This window comes from Homo sapiens, chromosome 1 (assembly GCF_000001405.40).
Source record: "Homo sapiens chromosome 1, GRCh38.p14 Primary Assembly".
NCBI lineage: Eukaryota > Metazoa > Chordata > Mammalia > Primates > Hominidae > Homo > Homo sapiens.
Window position 1 is genome coordinate 101,407,731 of NC_000001.11, and position 22,483 is coordinate 101,430,213.

Consider the following 22,483-nt stretch of genomic DNA (forward strand, 5'->3'; position numbering starts at 1 on the left):
GGGGCAGCTCTTAAAAACGAGCAAAGGTCAAAGTTGTTAATGAAGCTGACCCCACAGGTGTGAAGCTTGTAGGTTTCAGTTCAGTTTTACCCTTCAGAGATCAGTGACAGCCAGCCCTAGAGGCACCATCTGCAGCCCTATGGGAAAGAGGTCTGATTTAGAACATGTGGGAAAGGAAGAAGTACATTTGAATTTGAAAGTTGACTTAATTATATTCTCTGCTTTCAGAGAGCTTCCCCTTTGCACATCTCACCCTTTTTCTTACCCACGCTGCAGAACTATTTTGGCATATGTTTTACCCCAAATGACTGGTTCCTATTTTCAATTCTGTATCTAGTTGAGAGATACAGATGAGGGGTCAGGAAAGTTATTCTATGGTTTGGAGTCTTGCCAGGCTCAGTTGATATCTTTGACAAGAGCAAGGCTACTGCTCATTTCTGATGTCCCTGTCTGGGGAGCTCAAAGTGCTGTGTAGATGTTGTCTCATTCATTTTACCTGAGGCAAGTTGGAGGCATGCATCAGTGTAAAATTTTCTTTAAAGCTTCATTCATATGAGTAAGAAATAGATAAAAGGAAAATACTGCCTATGAGTCAGAAACAGATATATTTAAGAGATGACACTGAAAAAAGCTAAGGTTTTAATAATATTTTTGCCTTATTCTCTTGGGACAGATGAGGAGGATATAATCACAGGGCAGGTTTCACTGAGGAAGTTGTTATAAAGGGCAAGAATATAGTGCAGTGTTTAGTTTAAAGAGGGCAGCTTATAGCTGTATATCCATTCAATATATCCCAGAAGATTGGCGATAAATTTAAGACAATGTCTCCAAGTTGATTGGGCATATATTTCCAGCTTTGCTGCCTCCATTCTTTTGTTATTGGCCAACAAACCTCCTATTTTAATTTTTTATTTTTGGATAGAATTAACTGGAGACACTGTAGAATCTTAAACTTTTATGATGCTGTTTTTTCTGCCACATTATAAAAGTATTAAATTAAGAATCAACAAATGTAAATTACTTTTTGTTCTGCTGCTGTGAACCTTGAGTGGGAGCAATACTAAGCATCTTAGACCTGAGTTCCTTCATGTATAAAATGAGAAGGAGGAACCATATCACCTCTAAGATCCCTTCCAGCTTTGCAGTTTCCAGAAGTAAGAACATGTTCTATTACCTGCCATGAAGAAGAAAACATGGGAGAATATGGGAATCTTCTTTTCTGAAATCTCCTTTGTATGATTTTTCTTTCTCTCTTTTAAAATCATAGCTATAATTTTAAAAATCTCATTTAAAACTCTCTGTGTTTATTGTAGAAAAAAGTTAGAAAATATAAATAAGCAAAAATAATGTAAGAACTATGCATAATATCACTACTCTTGGATAATTACTGTTAACACTTTGGTAGACATTATTTCTGACTTTCTTTCTGAAAACACACCCATAAGCACACATATCCTTTAGTTATGCTAGTGACATCTTGAAGGATATTAAGGCTAAGTACATTGAGAAAACTTTACTACTAGATGTTCAAGATGTACCAAGCTTGGAAGATGATACAGAACAGTCCTTTACTTTCTCCTCTGAGTTATGTGTCAGTTCATCCAGGTTTGCCTCAGATGGGCTCCCTCTGGGCTCCCTTTTTACCATTTTTTCTCTCTGCTAGTTTATTGGTTTCCACTCTTGAAAAGGTGGTGTCAGGGCCTTTCATTCTGTGCTTTATTTAGAAGGGATGTTTTGTAAAAATCAGAATTAAACATTTACAGGCAAAAAACCCTTTGATTATATTGATGCCTTTTATAGCAAAAATGTAATACTTTACTAGTCTAACAGATTCTCTCTCTCTTTTTTCCTACCTTAAAAAGGCACAAACAAAACAAAACAGAATGAAATAATAACTGTAACAACAACAATAACAATATAAGAAAAAACAAAACACAAAATTCCTAGGAAGCAGTAGAAAAGAAAATAAAGAGATGAGGAAGAGCTCTGAGCTCTGACCTGCTTTATATTTACATATGTAAATAGTGTCTCAACATACATCCTATCTCAACAATCCATTTGAAAAATGTGATCATATTTTATACAACTTGAAACTCATTTTTTCACATAATAATCATAAACATCTTTTCAATCATCTGATAAATGTATAGATTATATTTTAATAGTCAAATATTGCTACATTACATATAACTTATCTAACCTACCCCCAATTATTGGACAGTTATTACCTTGTTTTTGCTGATACAAACAATAACAGGCTAAAGTAATTATATAATTATTAATGTCTGGGTTTACAGCCCTTTACACTTATGATAGGTATGTGGAAAATATATAATCAAAGTCATGGCAGACATTACTCACAGATCATGACATTAAAGCTGAGCCTGTCAGCACAGTGCTCAATGTATCCACAAATAATTGATTGGAGATGACAAGCTGGTTGAAGTCTAGGCTGCTGTATCTCTGTGAGTCTTCCTATTGCTAAAAACAGGAATGGAGACAGGTTGGGGAAAATGGCAGATATGAGGCAGGACTAAACTGCAGCTCCCATTCAGACAGAGAGCAGCATGTGGAGACTCACATCGTGAACTTTTGCTCCCACATCTATCACAGGAACATACCAGGAAATCTGAGAGAATTCACAGACCCTCTGAAGGAAGTGAATCACTCTTGCAGGCCCCGAGAGACAGCCAAAGTGTGAAAGTGTGAAAGGGGGATCATCCACCCCCAAACACACACTCTCACTGGGGAACCTGAAGGTTCAGATCACAAGAGAAGGATTTGACTTTACCCGGGGTTGAGACAATTCTAGAAAGCTGAGCAAAATACAAGGGTAGAAGAAGCAGCTAGAAGAGCCCTGTGGCTCTCTTGGTCCCCAGGGAAACCATTTCTGACTTTGTCTCACAGAGGTCCTTGGGGAGTGCTGCCAGAGGAACTGGGAAAAGACCACAGGGAGGAAACTTTTAGCTGAACTGTGTAACAACTTCAACTGAACACAAAGTTTCCTGGATGGAACTTGAGGGAGGGGTGAATCTGGAGTGCAGACACAGCACAGAAGCTGTGGCAGGTGGGGAGCCATGAAACCTGAAAGCCCTGCTTGCTTTTACAGCTGGAGATTGGTAGCCTGGAGCAAGTTATCAGCCCTGTTCACCCACTGCCTGGAAACAAACTTGGTGCTGTAGAGGGGGCCACAGCAAGAGTGAGACTGGCCTTTGGGATATGTGGGAGCTGGGTGAGGCCTGTAACTGCTGGATTTCCCCCACTTCCCTGGTGGCCTACAAGACAAGGCAGAGGCAGTCATAATCCCCCTAGGAACATAACTCCATTGGTCTGAGAACCACACACTCCATTCCCAACAGTGTCTACAGCAAGCCCCACCCAAGGATAGTCTGAGCTCAGACCTGCCTAACCCTGCCCCCACCTGATGGTCTTTTTCTACCCGCCCTGATATCCGAAGACAAAGGACATATTGTCTTGGGAGTTCCAAGGCCCTGCCCACCACCTGATCCTCCCTATACTACCACAGCTGATGCTCTCTTGGAAGTTCACCTTCTGGAAGGAGACCAACCAGCAAAAAACTAGTACAATAAACAAAACTACAACTAAGAACCTTCACAGAGTCAATTTCACTCCGCTGCCACCTCCACCAAAGCAGGTGCTGCTATCCATGGCTGAGAGACCTGAAGAAGGATCACATCACAGGACTCTGTGCAGAAATCCCCTGGTACCAGCCCAGTAGCTCTGCTGGGTGGCTAGATCCAGAAGAGAAATAACAATCACTACAGTTCTGCTCTCAGGAAATCACATCCCTAGGAAAAAGGGGATGGCACTACATCAAAGAAGCACCCTGTGGGACAAAAGAATCTGAACAGCAGCCCTTGAGCCCCAGATCTTCTCTCTGACATAGTCTACCCAAATAAGAAGGAACCAGAAAAACAATTCTGGTAATATGACAAAAGAAGTTTCTTTAGCACATCCAAAAGATCACACTAGCTCATCAGCAGTGGATCCAAACCAAGAAGAAATCCCTGATTTACCTGAAAAAGAATTCAGAAGGTTGATTATTAAGCTAATCAAAGAGGCATCAGAGAAAGGTGAAGTCCAACTTAATGAAATAAAAAAAGATACAAGATATGAAAGGAAAAATCTTCAGTAAAATAGATGGCATAAATAAAAACCAATCAAAACCTCTGGAAATAAAGGACACACTTAGAAAAATGCAAAATGCACTGGAAAGTCTCAGCAATAGACTTGAGCAAGCAGAAGAAAGAACTTTAGATCTTGAAGACAAGGTTTTCAAATTAACACAATCCAATAAAGACAAAGAAAAAAGAAAAAAAAAATGAAAAAAGCCTCCAAGAAATTTGGGATTATGTTAAATGACCAAACCTAAGAATGATTGGTGTTTCTGAGGAAGAAGAGAAATCTAAAAGTTTGGAAAACATATTTGAAGAAATAATTGAGGAAAACATCCCCAGCCTTGCTAGAGACTTAGACATCCAAATACAAGAAACTCAAACAACACCTGGGAAATTTATCACAAAAAGATCATCACTTAGGCACATAGACATCAGGTTATCTAAAGTCAAGATGAAGGAATGAATCTTAAAAGCTGTTAGGCAAAAGCACCAGGTAACCTATAAAGAAAAACCTATCATCAGATTAACAGCAGATTTCTCAGCAGAAACTTTATAAGCTAGAAAGGATTGGGGCCCTATCTTCAGCCTCCTTAAACAAAACAATTATCAGGAAAGAGCTGTGTATCTAATGAAACTAAGCTTCAGAAATGAAGGAAAGATACAGTCTTTTTCAGACAAACAAATGCTGATAGAATTTGCCACTATCAAGGCAGCACTAGAAGAACTGCTAAAAGGAGCACTAAATATTGAAACAAATCCCATAAATACACCAAAATAGACCCTCTTTAGAGCATAAATCTCACAGACCTATAAAACACAATAAATTTGTTTTAAAAGGTGGAAAAATAGCATAATGAATAGAACAGTCCCTCACATCTCAATACTAACATTGAATGTTAATGGCCTAAATGCTCCACTGAAAAGATACAGAATGGCAGGATGGATAGGAATTCACCAACCAAGTATCTGCTGTCTTCAAAAGACTCACCTAACACATAAGGACTCACATAAAATTAAGGCAAAGGGGTGGAAAAAGATATTTCATGCAAATGGACATAAAAAGTGAGTGGGAGTAGATATTCTTATATCAGGCAAAACAAGCTTTAAAGCAGTTAAAAAAGATGAAGAGGGACATATAATGATAAAGAGGCTTGTCCAACAGGAAAATATCACAATCCTAAATATATATGCACATAACACTGGATCTCCCAAATTTATAAAACAATTACTACTAGACCTAAGAAATGAGGTAGACAGCAATAGATTAATAGTGGAGAACTTCAGTACTCCACTGACAGCACTAGATGGATCATCAAGACAGAAAGTCAACAAAGAAACAATGGATTTAAACTATACCCTGGAACAAATGGACTTAACAGATATTTACAGAGCATTCTACCCAAAAACTACAAAATACACATTATATTCATCAGCACATGGAACATTCTCCAAGATAGACCATATGATAGGCCACAAAACAAGTCTCAATAAATTTAAGAAAATTGAAATTATATCGAGAGCTCTCTCAGATCACAGCGAAATAAAATTGGAACTCAACTCCAAAAGGAACCCTCAAAACCATGCAAATACATGGAAATTAAATAAACTGCTCCCGAATGATTGTTGAGTGAACAATGAAATCAAGATAGAAATAAAAGCATTCTTTGAGCTGAATGATAATAATGACACAACCCATCAAAACCTCTGGGATACAGCAAAGGTGGTGCTAAGTCTGAAAGTGCACAAATAGACAATCTAAGGTCACACTTTAAGGAATGAGAGAAACAAGAACAAACCAAACTTAAACCCAGCAAAAGAAAACAAATAACCAAGAACAGAGCAGAACTAAATGAAAATGAAACAAAAAAAACAAAAGATAAATAAACAAAAACCTGGTTATTTTAAAAGATAAATAAAATTGATAGAACATTAGTGAGATTAACCAAGAAAAGAAGAGAGAATATCCAAATAAGCTCAATTAAAAATGAAACAGGAGATATTACAACTGATACCACAGAAATACAAAAGATCATTCAAGGCTATTATGAACACCTTTACATGCATAAACTAGAAAACCTAGAGCAGATGGATATATTCCATGAACTATACAACCCTCCTAGCTCAAATCAGGAAGAAATAGAAACCCTGAAAAGACCAATAACAAGCAGTGAGATTGAAATGGTAATAAAAAAATTACCAACAAAAAAAATATCTAGGACCAGATGGATTCACAGCTGAATTCTATCAGACACTCAAGGAAGAATTGTTACCAATCCTGTTGAAATTATTCCACAATCTAGAAAGAAGGAATCCCCCCTAAATCACTCTATGAAGCCAATATCACCCTAATACCAAAACAAGGAAAGGACATAACAAAAAAAGAAAACTACAGACCAATATCCCTGGTGAATGTAGATACAAAAATTATTAACAAAATACTAGCTAACCAGATCCAACAGTATATCAAAAAGATAATCCACCATGATCAAGTGGGTTTCATACCAGGGATGCAGGGATGGTTTAACATATGCAAGTCAATAAATGTGATAAATCACATAAACAGAACTAAAAACAAAAACTACGTGACCCTTCATCTCAATAAATGCAGAAAAAGCATTTGACAAATTCTAGCATCACTTTATGATTCAAACCCTCAGCAAAATTGTCATACAAGGGACATAACTTAGTGTAATAAAAGCTATCTATGACAAACCTACAGCCAACCTAATACTAAATGGGGAAAAGTTGAAAGCATTCCCCCTGAGAACTGGAACAAGACAAGGATGCCCACTCTCACCACTTCTATTAACATAGACCTGGAAGTCCTAGCCAGAGAAGTCAGATAAGAGAAAGAAATAAAAGGCATCCAAATCTGTAAAGAGGAAGTCAAACTGTCACTGTTTGCTGATAATATAACTGTATATCTAGAAAACCCTAAAGACTCCCCCAAAAAGCTCCTATAACTGATAAATGAATTCAGCAATGTTTCAGTATACAAAATTAATGTACACAAATCAGTAGCTCTGCTATACACCAACAGCAACCAAGCTGAGAATCAAATCAAGAGCTCAACCCCTTGTACAATAGCTGCAATCAATCAATCAATCTATCAATCAATAAACTTAGGAATGTACCTAACCAAGGAGATAAAAGACCTCTACAAGGAAAACTACAAAACACTGCTGCAAAAAAATCATAGACAAAACAAACAAATGGAAACACATCCTACACTCATGGATGGGCAGAATCGATATCATAAAAATGACCGTACTGCCAGAAGAAATCTATACATTCAATGCAATTTCCATCAAAATACCATCATTCTTCACAGAACCAGAAAAAAAATTCTAAAATTCATATGGAACCAAAAAAGGGCTCACGTAGCCATAGCAAGGCTAATCAAAAGGAACAAATCTGGAGGCATTACATTGCCTGATTTCAAAGTATACTATAAGGCCATAGTCACCAAAACAGCATGGTATTGGTATAAAAATAGGCACATAGACCAATGGAACATAATAGAGAACCCAGAAACAAAACCAGATACTTACAGACAATTGATCTTCGACAAAGCAAACCAAAACTTAAAGTGGGGAAAGAACACTGTCTTCAACAAATGGTGCTGGGATAGTTGGCAACCCACATGTAGAAGAAGGAAACTGGATCCTTATCTCTTACCTTATACAAGAATCAACGCAAGATGGATCAAGGACTTAAATCTAAGACCTGAAACCATTAAAATTCTAGAAGATAACATTGGAAAAACCCTTCTAGACATTGGCTTAGGCAAAGACTTCATGAGCAAGAACCCAAAAGCAAATGCAGCAAGACAAAGATAAATAGATGGTACTTAATTAAACTAAAAGGTCTGCACATCACAAGAAACAACCAGCAGAGTAAACAGACAACCCATAGAGTGGGAGAAAATATTCCCAATCTATACATCTGACAAAGGACTAATATCCAGAATTTACAAGAAACTGAAACAAATTCTCAAGAAAAAAAACAATCCCATCAAAAAGTGGACTGAGAACATGAATAAACAATTCTCAAGAGAAGATATACAAAGATATGATATACAAAGATATGGCCAAAAAACATATGAAAAAATCCTGAACATCACTAATTATCAGGGAAATGCAAATCAAAACTGCAATGTGATACCATCTTTTTCCTGCAAGAATGGCCATAATAAAAAAAAAAATGAAAAAAGCAACAGATGTTGACGTGGATGTGGTGAAAAGGGAACACTTTTACACTGCTGGTGGGAATATAAACTAGTACAACCACTATGGAAAACAATATGGAGATTCCTTTAAAAACTAAAAGTAGAACAACCATTTGATCCAGCAATTCCACTACTAGGTGTCTACTCAGAGGAAAAGAAGCCATTATACAAAAAAGATACTTGTGCATGCATGTTTATAGCAGCACAATTCGCAATTGCAAAAATATAGAACCAGCCCAAATGCCCACCACTCCACTAGTGGATTAAGAAATTGTATATATATATATGCACACACACACACACACAATGGAATACTACTCGGCCATAAAAAGGAATGAATTAATGGCATTTGCAACTTGGATGGGATTGGAGACTATTAATCTAAGTGAAGTGACTCAGGAATGGAAAACCAAACATTGTATGTTCTCACTCATAATTGGGAGGTAACTGTGAGAATGCAAAGGCATAAGACTGAAACAATGGACTTTGAGGACTTGGGGAAAGGGTGGTACGGGGGTGAGGGATAGAAGACTAGAAATTGGGTACAGTGTATACTGCTTGAGTGATGGGTGCACCAAAATCTCAGAAATCACCACTAAAGAACTTATTCATGTAACCAAATGCCACCTGTATTAGTCAGCGTTCTCTAAAGGGACATAACTAATTGGATAAATGAATATATGAAGGGGAGTTTATAGAATTGATTCACATGATCACAAGGTGAAGTCCCACAATAGGACACCTGCAAACTGAGGAGCCAGGAAGCCAGTCCAAGTCCCCAACCTCAAAAGTAGAGAAGCTCATAGTGCAGCCTTCAGTCTGTGGCCAAAGGCCTTAGAGCCCTCGGCAAACCACTGGTATAAGTCAAAGAGTCCAAAAGCTGAAGAACTTGGAATCTGATGTTTGAGGGCTGGATGCATACAGCAAGGGAGAAAGAGGGAAGCCCAAAGATTCAGCAAGTCTGCTCTTTCCATGCCTGCTTTTATGCTGGCAGCTGATTAGATGGTGCCCACCCAGATTGAGGGTGGGTCTGCCTCTTCCAGTCCACTGACTCAAATGTTAATCTCCTTTGGCAACATACTCACAGAGACAACCCAGAATAATACTTTGCATCCTTCAACCCAGTCAAGTTGACACTAAATATTAACCATCACACCACCTCTTCCCCAAAATCCTACAGAAATGAAACACAACAACCGAAAAACAAACAAACAAACAAACCAACCAGGAATGGAGAGGTATTAGCATCCATTTCACATTGATGATCATAGTAAATTGTTTGGTACAATATTTATATAAGTTCTACTGAGTTGGCAATTTGCAAAAATAGAGATAGAATATTGATAGGGACTGAATGTTTGTTTCCCCCAAAGTATACATGTTGGAGTCCCAACCCGCAGTATGATTATATTTGGAGTTAGGGCCTTTATGGAGGTAATTAAAGCCAAATGAGGTGGGACCCTGATTTAATAGGACTGGTGGTGTCATTAGAAGAGACATGAGTTTAGACTCTCTCTATCATGAGGACACAGCAAGAAGGCAGTTACCTTTAAGCTGAGAACGAGCTCTTACCAGAAACCAAATTGGCTGGGACCTTAATCTGGGACTTCTAGCCTCCAGAACTCTTAGAAAATAAATTTCTGTTGTTTAAAACAACTAAGTTTATAATATTTGTGACAGCAGCCTGAACTGACTAATACAAATCTTAGTACTGAGAAGTGGAATGTTGCTGTAACAAATCTGTAAAAACGTGAAGTAGTTTTAGAACTGGGTGTTGGGTACAGACTGGAAGAGTTTGAGATGCACACTAGAAAAAGCTGAGATTGCCATGAAGAGGTTATTAGTGGGAAAACAGACATTTAATGGTGATTCTGGTGAGGGCTCAGGAAGAAATAAGGAGAGCTAGAGAGAAAGCTTCCATCTTCTTAGAGAATATATAAATAATCATAAACAGAATGTTGACAGAATATGGACATTAAAGGCCATTCTGGTGAGGGCTCAGAAAGAAAACAGAAACAGCATATTAGAAACTTGAGAAAAGCAGTCTTTGTTTTAAAGTGGCAAAGAACTTGGCTGACTTGTGTTCTAATGTATTGCGGAAGGTAGAATTTATGTGTGATGACATTGGATATTTAGCAAAGAAGATTCCTAAGCTGTGTATTGAAGGTGCTGATTTGGCCCTCCTTAGTGCTTACAGTAAAATGCAAGAAGGGAGAGATGAATTGAAGAAGAAATTTTCAAGCAAAAATAAACTAGAATTTGGAGATTTGGAAATTCTTAGCACTAAGGGTGTGGCTGAACAACAATTTGATAAAGAGATTGTGATGATTAATTTTATGTATCAACTTGACTGGGCCAGGGGTTGTCTGGATATTTGGTTAAACATAATTCTTGGTATGTCTGTGAGGGTGGCTGTGGGTGAGATTAATATTTGAACTGGTAGACTGAGTAAAGCACACTGCTCTCACCAGGGTTGTCATCTACTCCACTGAAGACCTAAATACAACAAAAGGCTAAGTAAGGGTAAATTTGCTTTCTCTCTGCCTGACCGTCTTCTCCTGCTTTTGAATTTGAACTCAGACTTGGACTGGAATTTACACTATTAGCAACTCTCCTGGTTCTCAAGCCTTCAAATTTAGACTGTATCTATACTTTCCTGGGTCTCCAGCTTGCTGACTGCAAATATTGGGACTTCTCAGCCACTGTAATCATGTAAGTCAATTTCTTAAAATAAATCTCTCTCTCTCGCCATATATATATCCTATTTTTTTCTGTTTCTCTGGAGAACCGAGATTAACATAGAGATTATGGGTGTGACTCATGGCCTTAATCAGCCATCTCAGTAGAAGCCAGGGATAGAGATTGGATTATAATAGCAGAGACCCTGCCAATTTGAACTAATGGTGAGAGTGAAAGTAGGACGGAATGAAGGAAAGCCATTAAATTTCTAGAATTCTATAGAATAGGAAAATAGAGCTATTTGGTTGTGAATTTATGCTATTTTTCAAGGAAAGGGAAGAATGGCCCCAAAGGCATTTCAGAGATCATCGCAGCTACCGCTTCCACCACGGGCCCAGTCAGCAAGGTCATTTCCTTCTCAGTTTAAGAGGGCAGGGTGGCCAGGCATAGTGGCTTACGCCTGTAATCCTAGCACTTTCAAAGGCCAAAGCAGGTGGATCACTTGAGCCCAGGAGTTCAAGAGCAGCCTGGGCAACATGGTGAAATCCCATCTCCACAAAATTCAAAAATTAGCTGGCCATGGTAGTGCATCCCTGTAGTTTCAGCTACCTGAGCAGCTGAGGTGGGAGACTCACTTGAGCCTGGGAAGTTGAAGCTGCAGTAAGCTGTGATAGTGCCATTATACTCCAGCTAGAGCGACAGGAGTGAGACTCTGCCTTAAAAAAAAAGGGAGGCAGGGCCACCATGGTGGCATGTCCAGCCAAAGGAACGAAGCAGTTCCACCGAGCCAAGGAGGTGACACTGCCACCCCTGCAGGTCTGGAAGGGTGGACATTGAACCAATAAGGATCATTCTTGAGCTTTAAGAGCAAATGGAATTTGCCTTGCTGGGTTTTAGACTTGCTTGAGGCTCATAATCTCTTCCTCATTTCCTATTTCTCCCTTTTGGAATGAGAATATCTATCCTATGCTTGCCACTACATCATATTTTGTAAGCACATAAGTTTCCTGGTTTCACAGATTCACAGCTGCCGAGGAATTTTGCCTCAGGATGAATTGTACCTGAAGTCTTACCCCATATCTGACTTAGATGATATTTAAAGTCTGAACATTAAATTTCGGAGTTGATGATGGAATGAATTAAGACTTTTGAGGCTTTTGGGATAGAAGGAACGTATTTTGCATACATGGAGGACATTAATTTTGAGGAGCCAAGAGCGGAATATTATGGGCTAAGTGCTTGTCAACTGAGCTAAGGCAGTTGGTATGTTATTGCTATAGTTAAGAATCAAGGTTCAGAATTTACTCTGAAAGATATTCATTTGGCTAAACCTGAAAAAAACGTTTTCATTTGAGAGTAAGAAATTTTGAAAAGTTGTGACTAACTTTGGTTGTAGGTACATTACCTCAACAAATCACAGAATCATGAGATTGACAAGTAATAAAGGAATCTGTTCACTTAGTTCAGCCCCCTAACAATGGAGTAATATTTTCCAAATGTCACACAGGCTTTTCCATAAATTATTTATGAAAGATTTTTTAATATATGAACTTAGATCTACCCAACTATAACTTCCCTCCATAAGAGCCAATTCTGCTGTCTTTACCAGACAGAACAATTCTGTTCTTTCCTCCCTTCATTCATCTTTTTAGATGCTGTAATGATTAATTTCATGTGCTAACTTGTCTGGGGCATGGTGCCCAGATATTTAGCTAAACATTTTGGATGTTTCTTTTGGTTTGTTTTTGGATGAAATGTAAGTTTAAATCGGGGAGTTTGTGGTAAAGCAGAGTGCTCACTATAATGTGGGTGGGACTTATCTGATCAGTGAAAGGCCTAAATAGAACAAAAGGCTGACCTCCTCTGAGCAAGAGAAAATTCTCCAGCAGACTGCCTCAGACTTCATCTGCAACATTGCCTTGTACTAGTTCTACAGTAGATTGCCTTTCAACTTGAATAGCAACGTTTTCCTGAGTCCCCAGCCTGCTGGCCTCTCCTATCAGATTTTGGACTTGCCAAACCTCTACAGTCGTGTGAGCCAGTTCCTTAAAATAAATATCTTTCCATATATACACACATTCTATTGATTCTGTTTCTCTGGTGAACCCTGAAGAATATAGATGTATTATATTTCTTCTCTTTTGAAAGCTATCCATTAACTTCCCACCTCAGCCTTGAAAACACAGAATTCTTACAAATACCTCAAAGTTCTACATGATTTTTCTCTCGTTTATGCCACCTCAAAGCCCCCCATCAATAGCTCTCTGGCTTTATGTACTCTTGCTTTCCCCCTCAATCAATCTAATTTAGTTATGCTGGCCTCTTAGCATATCTATCACAATATTGTTGCATTTGTAATTCTCTCTGATTGAATGTTGGTCTCTCAGATATCCTTAAGGCTGGGTCTTTGATTTTCTTTATGTCTTTACTCAATTACCATTTTCTCAGTGAAGCTCTTCTTAGTTATTCTTTAAAAAGTTTAATGCCCTCTTCCAATATTTCCTATTCTCTTTTCTATTGTATTTTTTTCTTAGCACCAACAATAGTTCATTATACTGTATATTTTGCTTTTCATCTTGCTTATCATTTGATTTCTCCTCTATAATGAAAATTGCATGACAGCTGAAATTCTTTTCTATTTTAGTGCTATATTCCCAACACCTAGGATAGTGATATAATAGGGGATCTATTAATATTTGTCAAATAAAAGAATGAATGAGAATGTCAGATTATTTTTGAGGATTTTAGGTTAACTAAATATTCACATTGAACACAACGTTTTTGCTTGACTTTGGCATTTTTATAAACTGTTATTTAATTTGAAATTATAATATATTTCATATCAAATGTGTACCTTAAGTAGTAGTCTTCTCCCCTTCTTAATCCACTGCCACATGCTGTTATGAAATCAATGAGATCTCTTATAATCAAAAGCATCTTAGAACTAAGAAAATAATGAGTTTTTATATGACAATTCTGATGATGATGGTAGTTATGTGTGTCAAGAATTGTGAAGGGCCTGAGATTTGTGTGGAGAAATGGAATAAAATACCTTTAACGGGAACTATTGATTATTACATCATAAAATTCAAAAATATTGTTTGTTATAATCAACCATAAAAAAAAAACTGTGGCAAGACGCCTCTATTCTTATTTATGTATTTATTTTTGTCCTGGCCTTCTCATATTGACTCTGATTCAGCTGAAGGATAGTATAAATATAGCAGTAGATAATATAAGACTTCAGACAGATCACTATTGTGGTGAGGGTATGAAATGTACTATGGGTAAAAACTCTGCTGAAATTATTAGGAATATTTCAGGAGTTCAAGATTTTATGATCACTTTTATATGATCTTGTCATATAATAACTGACATATACATTTATTCCAAATTCTTCTCATTTCTTAATATTACTTCTGCTGAAAGAGTGTTTTTCAATTCGATGTACTAATTTAATCTTTCTCTTCTAAAATTAAGTAATTGGGGATGTTTTTCTAATTCTGTCATAAAATTTCCTTTGCTGTAAAATTTTTACACAGAAACTATAAATATTGTGCTTCAAATTTAATGCATTAAAATTATTAAAATGAGGTAGGTTAATTCTTGTGGAAGGCTGGAATGACCATAGAGAAATATGACTGAATTCAGTAATTTGATATTACAAAAATTCTATGCCTTACCCAAATTTACCATTGCTTTTGTCAAGGACTCCTTCTACTCAAGATCTGTGTGTAGAAATTTAAACCATGACTAAATTGAGTCTTTCTCTTTTAAGGTAGTCCCACTGAACACTTTTGTCTAGACTACTATCCTCTAGGCTAGATTAGAATGGAATTGAGGTTAGTACAGAGAATGGTTATGGGACTCCCTGCTGATGTTCTCACTGAATTTTATCTCATGTGGAATGCTCAGTTGAATAGAGAGCTATAGATTCCACAGATATAGATGTGAAGGATGTGGAATTTCCTCAACTGAATTGTGATTTGGTAGGTCTCTGCTGCATACCTTGCTACTACACCAAGTGTTGTGATGAGTAGGACTCATTATAGGAATATTTTCAAAGAGTGTTACTCAGACTACCTTTATTAGCCAGGGTTCTCTTAAAGGGACAGAAAGAATAGGGTATATATCTCATATATGTGTGTGTGTGTGTGTATATATATATATATATATGTAAACAGAGTAAACAGACAACCTACAGAATGGGAGAAATTTTTTGCAAAGTATACATATATATATATATATACACACACGGGACTATATATATGACAGTATATATATGGGAGTATATGTATATACTTAATATATACACATATATGTATATATACATATGTGTATATATACTTAATATATATACATATGTGTGTATATATACTTAATATATATACATATATATATATGAGTTTATTAAGTATTAACTTACACAAACATGGGGTCCCACAGTAGGCTGTCTGCAAGCTGAGGAGCAAGAAGAGTCAATTTGAGTCCCAAAACTGAAGAACTTGGAGTCCAACCTTCAAGGGCAGAAAGCATCCAGCACAGAAGAAAGATGTAGGCTGGGAGGCTAGGCCAGTCTCTCCTTTTCATATTTTTCTGCCTGCTTTATATTCACTCACAGCTGATTAGATTGTGCCCACTAGATTAAGAGTGGATCTGTCTTCCCTTCACCACTGACTCAAATGTTAATCTCTTTTGGCAACACCCTCACAGACACACCCAGGATCAATACTTTGTATCCTTCAATCCAATCAAGTTGACACTTAGTATTAACCATCATGCTACCTGTGTCCGAATCTCATGGGTTTCATATGGAGTCACAAAAGACCTCAGATAGTCAAGGCAATCGTGAGCAAAGAACAAAGATGGAGGCATCACACTTCCTGACTTCAAATGATATTACAAAGCTACAGTAGTTGAAACAGTATGGTACTGGCATAAAAAAAGACAGATAAACCAATGAAATAGAATCAACAGCCCAGAAATATACCCATGCATAAACAATCAGCTAATCTTTGACAAGGGCAACAAGGATACACAATGTGGAAAGGATAGTTCCTTTAATAAATGGTGTTGGGAAAACTGCATATCATATGCAAAAGAATGAATTTGGACCTTTATTTTACACTATACACAAAAATAACTCAAAATAGATTAAAGATTTAAACATAAGACCTTAATCTGTAAAATTGCTACATGAAAACATAGGGAAAAAGTTCCTTGATATTGGTCTTGGTATGGATCTTTTTAAAAAAACTTTTATTTTAAGTTCAGAGGTACATGTGCAGGATGTGCAGGTTTGTTACATAGGTAAAGGTGCATCCTGGGGGCTTGTTATACAGATTATTTCATTAGCCATGTATTAAGCCTAGTGCCCATAGTTGTTTTTCCTGATTCTCTTCCTCCTCCTACTTCCACCATTCTATAGGCCCCAGTGTGTGTTGCTTCCCTCTGTGTGTCCATGTTTTCTCATCATTGAGCTCCCATTTATAATTGAGAACATGCGGTATTTGGTTTTCTTTTCCTGTGTTAGTTTGCTAGGGATAATGGCCTCCAGCTTTATTTATGTCCCCGCAAAGGACATAATCTCATTTTTTATGGCTGCATAGTATTCCTGGTGTATATGTACCACATTTTTTTTATCCATTCTATAATTGGTGGGCATTTGGGTTGATTCCATGTCTTTGCTATTGTGAATAGTGTTGTCATAAACATACATGTGCATGTGTCTTTATAATAGAATGATTTATATTCCTTTGGGTATATACCCAGTAATGGGCTTACTAGGTTAAATGGTATTTCTGTCTTTAGGTCCTTGAGGACTTGCCACACTGTCTTCCACAATGATTGAACTAATTTACACTCCCACCAACAGTGTATAAGCATTCCTTTTTATTCACAACCTCACCAGCATCTGTTAGTCTTTTGACTTTTTAATAATAACCATTCTGACTGGTGTGAGATGGTATCTCATTGTGGTTTTGATTTGCATTTCTCTAATAATAGGTGATGTTGAGCTTTTGTTTGTATGATTTTTGGCCACATGTATGTCTTCTTTTGAGAAGTGTCTGTTCATGTCTTTTGTCCACTTTTTGATCATGTTTTTTTCTTGTAAATTTGTTTATATTCCTTATTGGTGCTGGATATTAGACTTTAGTCAGATGCATAGTTTGCAAAAAATTTCTCCCATTGTGTAGGTTGTATGTTTATTTTGTTGATAGTTTCTTTTGCTGTGCAGAAACTTTTTAGTTTAATTAAATCCCATTTGTCAATTTTTATTTTTGTTACAATTGCTTATGGCATCTTTGTCGTGAAATCTTTGCCAGTGCCTATGTCCTGACTGGTATTGCCTAGGTTGTCATCTAGGGTTCTTATAGTTTTCAGTTTTACATTTAAGTCTTTAATCCATCTTGAGTTAATTTTTGTATATGGTATAAGGAAGGGGTCCAGTTTCAGTTTTCAGCATTTGGCTAGCCAGTTCTCCCAGCACCATTTACTGAGTAGTTAATCCTTTCTCCATTGCTTGTTTTTGTCAGGTTTGTCAAAGATCAGATGGTTGTAGCTGTGCAGTCTAATTTCTGGGTTCTCTATTCTCTTCCATTGGTCTATGTGTTTGTCCTTGTATCAGTACTATGCTGTTTTGGTTGCTGTAGCCTAGTTGTTGCATAGTTTGAAGTCAGGTAGCATGATGCCTCCAGCTTTGTTCTTTTTATTATTATTATACTTTAAGTTTTAGGGTACATGTGCACAATGTGCAGGTTTGTTACATATGTATACATATGACATGTTGGTGTGCTGCACCCATCAACTTGTCATTTAGCATTAGGTATATCTCCCAATGCTATCCCTCCCCCCTCCTCCACCCCACAACAGTCCCCGGTGTGTGATGTTCCCCTTCCTGTGTCCATGTGTTCTCACTGTTCAACTCCCACCTATAAGTGAGAACATGCTGTGTTTGGTTTTTTGTCCTGTTCTTTTTACTTAGGATTGCCTTGGCTTTTCGGGCTCTTTTTTGGTGTCATATGAATTTTAAAATAGTTTTCTCTAGTTCTATGAAGAATGTCAATGGTAGTTTAATGGAAATAGTTTAATGGTAGCTTAATGGGAATAACAGTTTAATAGGAATAGTTTAATGGTAGTTTAATGGGAATAGCATTGAATCTATAAATTGCTGTGGGCAGTATGACTATTTTTGTGATATTAATTCTTCCTATCCATGAGCATAAAACATTTTTATTTGTTTGTGTCATCCTTGATTTCTTTGAGCAATGGTTTGTAGTTCTCCTTGTAGAGATCTTTCACCTCTTTTGTTACTTGTATTCCTAGGTATTTTATTCTTTTTGTGGCAATTGTGAATGGGAGTTTAATCATTCAAGCTCTCAGCTTGACTGTTGTTGGTGTATAAGAATGCCAGCAATTTTTGCACATTGATTTTGTATCCTGAGACTTGGCTGAAGTTTCTTGTCAGCTTAAAAAGCTTTTGTGGGGAGACACTGGGGTTTTCTAGATATAGGATCATATCATAAGGAAACAAGGATAGTTTGACTTCCTCTCTTTTTATTTGAATGCCCTTTATTTCTATCTCTTTCCTGATTGGCCTGGCCAGAACTCCCAACACTATGTTAAATAGGAGTGGTGAGAGAGGGCATCCTTGTCTTGTGCTAGTATTCAAGGCAAATGCTTTCAGCTTTTGCCCATTCAGTATGATGTTGGCTGTGGGTTTGTCATATATGGCTCTTATTATTTTGAGGTATACTCCTTCAATACCTAGTTTATCAGGAGTTTTTACATGAAGGGATGTTGAATTTTATTGAAAGCTGTTTTGGCGTCTATTGAGATAATCATGTGGTTTTTGTCTTTAGTTATGTTTATGTGATGAATCACATTTATTGATTTGTGTATGTTAAACCAATCTTGTATCCCGGGGATGAAGCCTACTTGATCGTGGTGGATAAGCTTTTTGATGTGCTGCTGGTTTTGGTTTTCCAGTATTTTGTTGAGGATTTTTGCATTGATGTTCATCAAGGATATTGCCCTGGAGTTTTCTTTTTTTGTTGTGTATCTGACAGGTTTTGGTATCAGGATGATGCTTGCCTGATAGAATGGGTTAGGGAGGAGTCCTTCATTTTTAAATTTTTGGAATAGTTTCAGTAGGAATTGTACCAGCTCTTTGTACATCTGGTAGAATTCATCTGTGAATATGTCTGGTGCTGTGCTTTTCTTTTTCTTCTTTGGTTGGTAGGCTATTTATTACTGCCTCAATTTCAGAACTTGTTATTGATCTGTTCATGGATTCAATTTCTTCCTGGCTCAGGCTTGGGAGGGTGTTTGTGTCCAGGAATTTATCTGTCTCTTCTAGGTTTTCTAGTTTGTTTACATAGGGATGTTCATAGCAGTTTCTGATGGTTCCTTTTATTTCTGTGGGGGTCAGTAGTAAGATTCCTTTTGTTATTTCTAAGTGTGTTTATTTGCATAGTCCCCTTTCTTCTTTATTAGCCTACCTAATGGCCTATTTTATTAATTTTTTCAAAAAAACAACTGCTGGGTTTTTTTATCTTTTAAATAATTTTTCATGTCTCAATCTCCTTTACTTCAGCTCTGATTTTTGTTATTTCTCATCTTCTAGCTTTGGGTTTGATTTGTTCTTCCATCTCTAATTCTTTCCATTGTGAAGTTAGGTTAATTTGACATCTTTCTAATTTTTTGATGTGGGCATTTAGTGCTATTAATTGCCATCTTCACACTACCTTAGCTGTGTCCCAGAGATTCTGGTATGTTGTACCTTTGTTCTCATTAGTTTCAAAGAACTTCTTGATTTCTGCCTTAATTTCATTCAAAGGACCTTCAGGAGCAGGTTACTCAATTTCCAAGTAATTTGTATGGTTTTGAGTGAAGTTTTTAGTCCTAAGTTCTAATTTGATTGGATTGCACCATGGTCCAAGAGACTGTTATGATTTCAGTTCTTTTGCATTTGCTGAGGAGTGTTTTACCTATGATTATGTGATCAATTTTAGAATAAGTGACATGGCAATGGGAAGAAGTATATTCTGTTGTTTTGGGGTACAGAGTTCTGTAGATACCTATCAGGTTCCTTTGATTCAGAGCTGAATTGAGGTCCTGAATATCTTTGTTAATTTTCTGTCTCATTGATCTGTCTAATATTTTCAGTGGGATAGTAAAGTCTCTCACTATTATTATGTGGGTGTTTAAGTCTCTTTGAAGGTCTCTAAGAACCTGCTTTATGAATCTGGGTGCTCTTGTATTGGGTGCATATGTATTTAGGATAGTTAGCTCTTCTTGTTGAATGAAACTCTTTACCATTATGTAATGCCCTTCTTTGTCTCTTTTGATCTCTGTTGGTATAAAGTCTGTTTTGTCAGAAACTAGGATTGCAGCCCTTGCTTTTTTCTGTTTTCCATTTGCTTGGTAAATTTTCCTCCATTCCTTTATTTTGAGCCTATATGTCTTTACATGTGAGATGGGTCTCTCGAAGACAGCATACCAATGGGTCCTGGTTCTTTATCCAGCTTTCTACTCTGTGTCTTTTAATTGGGGCATTTAACCTATTTACATTTAAGGTTAGTATTATTATGTATGGATTTGATCCTGTCATTTTGGTGCTAGCTGGTTATTTTGCAAACTTGTTTATGTGGATGCTTCATAATGTCACTGGTCTGTGTACTTCAGTTTGTTTCTGTAGTGGCTGGTAATGATTTTTCCTTTCCATATTTGGTGCTCCCTTGAGGAGCTCTTTTAAGGCAGGTCTGGTGGTAATGAATTCCCTCAGCATTTGCTTCTCTGAAAAGGATCTTATCTCTTTTTTGCTTATAAAGCTTGATTTGGCCAGATATGAAGATTTCCTGAGGTCATTGTAGATTTGAGGATGGTCTTTGTATATGTTTGTGTGCATGATTGTGTGAGTGTGTTTGTGGAGATGTAGGTGGTGCTTCTTGATTACTGTATGTTGTCATGGTTACCACTAAGGCCCTTTTCACATATTCTGTTTAATCAATCTCTGAGAGATTTATTAGTGCTAAGCAAACTATCAAGAGATTGTTTTGAAATTTGGAAAGTTAATATTGCTTTACAATAGGGGATATTTTTGGCTCACTACATTTGAGGTTTCTCTGTGGCTGTATCTACTTAGGAAACTAAATGGCATAAGCAAATATAGCGTGAAAATCAGACTTAGAGCAAAAAGAATAAATGTTCTTTGGAAATGACTTTGACCAATGAATATTAGCCTGTTAAAGTCTCATTCTGTTTTCTAGATTTTTTTTTGATTACATAATTTGGATTTTTAAAAAAGAAAACTAGACTATGTTATTCACTGGACATGGCTTAGGAAACTGATAAAATAATGTCCTCTAACTTTCCTTTTTGTAGTGCCTGCATTGGCCCAAAATTCAACTCTTATTTTAGTTTTCTACCTCACTGCAATACCTTCTGAACATCTTTACAATGTCAGCATCCAATTTCACAGTGAGTACCTTTTCAATGGACTGTCTCTTAATTGCTTCTAGAATGTTTTCTAGGTGCCAAATGATCTTATTTATTTTGTGTGAATTACTTTTAGTCTCAGAGAATGTGTCCTTTTTATGTTCTTGATCTTTCTGTTTTCTAATTTTTAGGATCCAGAGTTAAGAATATAATAGAAGAGTATTTTACTCTTGGACCTTAAATGGTCACTGTCTACTCTCTAGATGAGGTATAATGCACATCTTTCTTAAAGCTGGCAGTGTATTTATATGCACATTTTACATAACCATTGCAATTATCTTATAACCCATAATCTAGACTCAAAAATGAAAGTTCATTCTGTAACCATATAAAACATTTTGTTTTAGCATATGCACTAAAAACCACAGACTTTTAAATTCTGTTCTTTTCTTTTCTAAGTGCTCTCATCTACAATAAAATCTGATTTAGGTGGTGATTTAGGAGAATGGAAACTATTAAAGTAAAACCAACCAGCAACTAAAAATATTTTATAGAGGAAAGGTAAGAATTCCTTAATGGTTTCTGATTATAAGCACCTTTAGAATAGTTCATAATGCTACATATAAAATTAAAGAATCATAGTAGTTTTCCTAAATGATTCAACAGATAGATGTTTTCTTTTAGCTTGGCAGACGGAATTTTCTTCCAGAATTCACATTTAAAACTACTTTTTTCTTTGAACAGAGTCTTGCTCTGTTGCCCAGGCTTGAGTGTAGTAGTAGCATGATCTCAGTTCACTCCAGCTGTGACCTCCTGAGTTCAAGTAATCCTCTTGCCTCAGCCTCCCAAGTAGCTGGGACCACAAGTGTGCAAGACCATGCCCGAATAATTTTACATTTTTTATAGAGATCAGGTCTCACCATGTTGCTCATCTCAAACTCCTGGGCTGAAGGGATCCTTTTGCCTTGGCCTCCCAAAGTGCTGAGATTATAGGTGT

At 36.9% G+C, this 22,483-nt stretch overlaps 3 annotated features.

Moving 5' to 3' along the window:
- Nucleotides 2,521-2,570: an enhancer, noted in NCBI's record as "active region_1405". NCBI's record gives its function as "activates an Ori minimal core promoter by ATAC-STARR-seq in GM12878 lymphoblastoid cells {active_cell/tissue: GM12878}" and the evidence as "EXISTENCE:reporter gene assay evidence [ECO:0000049][PMID:35858748]".
- Nucleotides 2,591-2,640: an enhancer, noted in NCBI's record as "active region_1406". NCBI's record gives its function as "activates an Ori minimal core promoter by ATAC-STARR-seq in GM12878 lymphoblastoid cells {active_cell/tissue: GM12878}" and the evidence as "EXISTENCE:reporter gene assay evidence [ECO:0000049][PMID:35858748]".
- Nucleotides 2,941-3,020: an enhancer, noted in NCBI's record as "active region_1407". NCBI's record gives its function as "activates an Ori minimal core promoter by ATAC-STARR-seq in GM12878 lymphoblastoid cells {active_cell/tissue: GM12878}" and the evidence as "EXISTENCE:reporter gene assay evidence [ECO:0000049][PMID:35858748]".